We start from the raw sequence: 2,389 nt of genomic DNA, 5'->3' as shown, positions 1-2,389 counted from the left end.
TTTTGACCTGGTAATTCCTTAAGACCCGCTCGTTGCTGCAGAAGTTACTCTGGATGTCTGTTGTTGAGCACTGCTGCTGTGGACTCCAGGAAGCCATGCAAATGAGCTATGGTGTGCACTAGAGGGACAGTCTCCCTCACTCCGGCTGGAGTCCTCCCATCGGCTTCTCCATTGTATTGAGCCAGGTCTGCAGGGACACACAGAGGAGCTGGTAGGAGACCCTGCTTGCCATCAGTTGCTCACAAGCCCAAGGCTTGTGCCCTCAGGGTGGGGGCAAGGGTTAAACCCACCTCCTGCCGTGGCCCCAAGGGGTTGGCCAGGCAGTTCAGGCAGAAGGGCAGCCACTGAGGAGTCGTGTACACCATGACTCGTGTGGACCTGAAGCCCATGTTCCCACCACCAGGTTGGCCAAAAAGACGGCAGGCTTTGAGTTTCCTTTTAAACGGTGTGTACCTAACTTGCAGTTCCCTAGGTTCCTGGTAGAACCAAATGCAAATCACCTTTGTCCTAGACATCTGTACACCTCATGAATGAGTTTTCCAGGTCAGTGAGTAGACCACAATCAAACCAAGTACACGGGAACCTGGCACCATGATCGAAAGCCATGAGAAATGTGTGCAGAGGCATCCGAGTGTACTGGAATTCTCAGACATGGATTGTAAAAAGCTTGCTGTGCTCAAAGATGGCTTGGAAAAGCTGATAGGCCAAACTTCAACCTAGCACCAAGTAGAACTTCTAGAAATGGAAAAAAAAATACAGCCTTCAAACCAAACACTCCAGAAGTAGTTTGGCAGCCACGCTTAGACACTGCTAAAGAGAGAATTTGTGAACTAGAAGACAGGTGAGAAGAAATGATCCAGGCTGCCCCCCAGGACAAGAGATAGAAAATAGCATCAGCAGCTGAGGAGGGGGCCCCAGGCAAGGGCCTGGCAGGGGCTGTCCTGAGGCCCACAGGAGCCCATCAGGCATAGGGTGAGCAGTAAGTAGGTGCGGCAGGTATAGCGGGTGTCATAGGTGGGGCTGGGTTGCCCAGTTACTTCTGCAGGAAGTGTCCCACAGGCCTGGCCCTTTCTGGCTGTGCCAATGTGTTCCCCAGATTCTGGGGAAGCCCCTGTAACCTCCGGGAGATGCATCTGGCTTGGAGTCTCACAGGACGTAGTCTGGCCTCCATGCCCGTGTAAGGGTGTGTGGCTGTTGGAGGTGGAGGGGTGGCACTCAGGGATCATTCATGCACCAAGTGTGCATGGGTTGAGCTGAGAGCCTCTGCAGTTGCCTGCGTGTGTCCATGGTGGGCGGGCCTGCCGCCCCCCACCCTGAGCTCGCCATCCAGTGTCCTGAGCCCACTGGGAGTTCATGGCCTCCCTCCACCCCATACTCAGTCATAACCCCCCACTTAGGGGACCTTGCACCTTTTCAGGCCTGGCTGGTGCCTGGCCATGGCCAGCCCATGTGGATGGCAGTGTCAAGAGGTCCAGGCCCGGCCAGCAGGCTTCCTGCTTGCTGTCTCACGCCATGTCAGGGCAGACGATGGGGCTCTTCTTCATCTCAGTGCTACTGCCCCCATGGTGTGGTCATGAAGCCGGGCTAGGTTCTGGCCCAACCCCCTGGGGTAAGCCTGGCAGTCCCTGCCCTCAGACCCTAGGCCACCTCCACACCTCCTGAGTGCCACTCACCTGCCTCACAGAGTCCGCTATGCAGAGGCCAGGGTCCACAAGTGAGGGTTAGGCCTCAGGGTCCATCCTGCTGCCACCAAAGCCTTGTTCCCTTGTGGGTGGGTGGGTGGGTGGGTGAGTGGCTGCCCCCAGAGAGGGCGCTGTGTGGTCAGCAAATCTAGCGAAGAAAGGCAGGCTCCCTGGCACCCCCAGGCTGGTGCTAGGCCCCTGGGGCCCCTCTGGCTGTGGCTGCAGGAACCCCGGTGGTCACCCCTACTCTGGCCGCTGGGCTTGGGACCTGTGCCACTCCTGTTTGCCCCTCAGGACACACAGGCGTGCCCTGCTACCCGTCCTGGCTGCCAAGTTCCTGGAGCCCGCTGTGTCTTGCACTGCCATGAAGCGGGGGCCCCCAACGGCCAGTCTCCCCACTGCCTCCACTCTTTGCTCTTCCTGTTGACAGGTCTGGGGCTGTGACCTGCCATACAGAGGGAGAGCTCCTCTGTCACTGGGGCACATGTCCCCAAAATGAGCACCTGGGCCTCCCCAAGCCTGGTGGGCAGTGAGCTTGGGGGACACCAGGCTCCGAGGCATGTGCCGGCGACTGGCGGGGCAGGGCCTGTTCCCCACACTTTGGAGCTGCTCCCAGCTGGGCCCAGAGGCTACATGGCTGTTGGCTTTGTGGCTCGGATGGGAAGGGTCTGGATGCAGAGGGAACTTTGAGGTGGCCACTGCAGCCC

This window comes from Homo sapiens, chromosome 14, assembly GCF_000001405.40.
Source record: "Homo sapiens chromosome 14, GRCh38.p14 Primary Assembly".
Classification (NCBI taxonomy): domain Eukaryota; kingdom Metazoa; phylum Chordata; class Mammalia; order Primates; family Hominidae; genus Homo; species Homo sapiens.
This window is presented reverse-complemented; position numbering follows the sequence as displayed.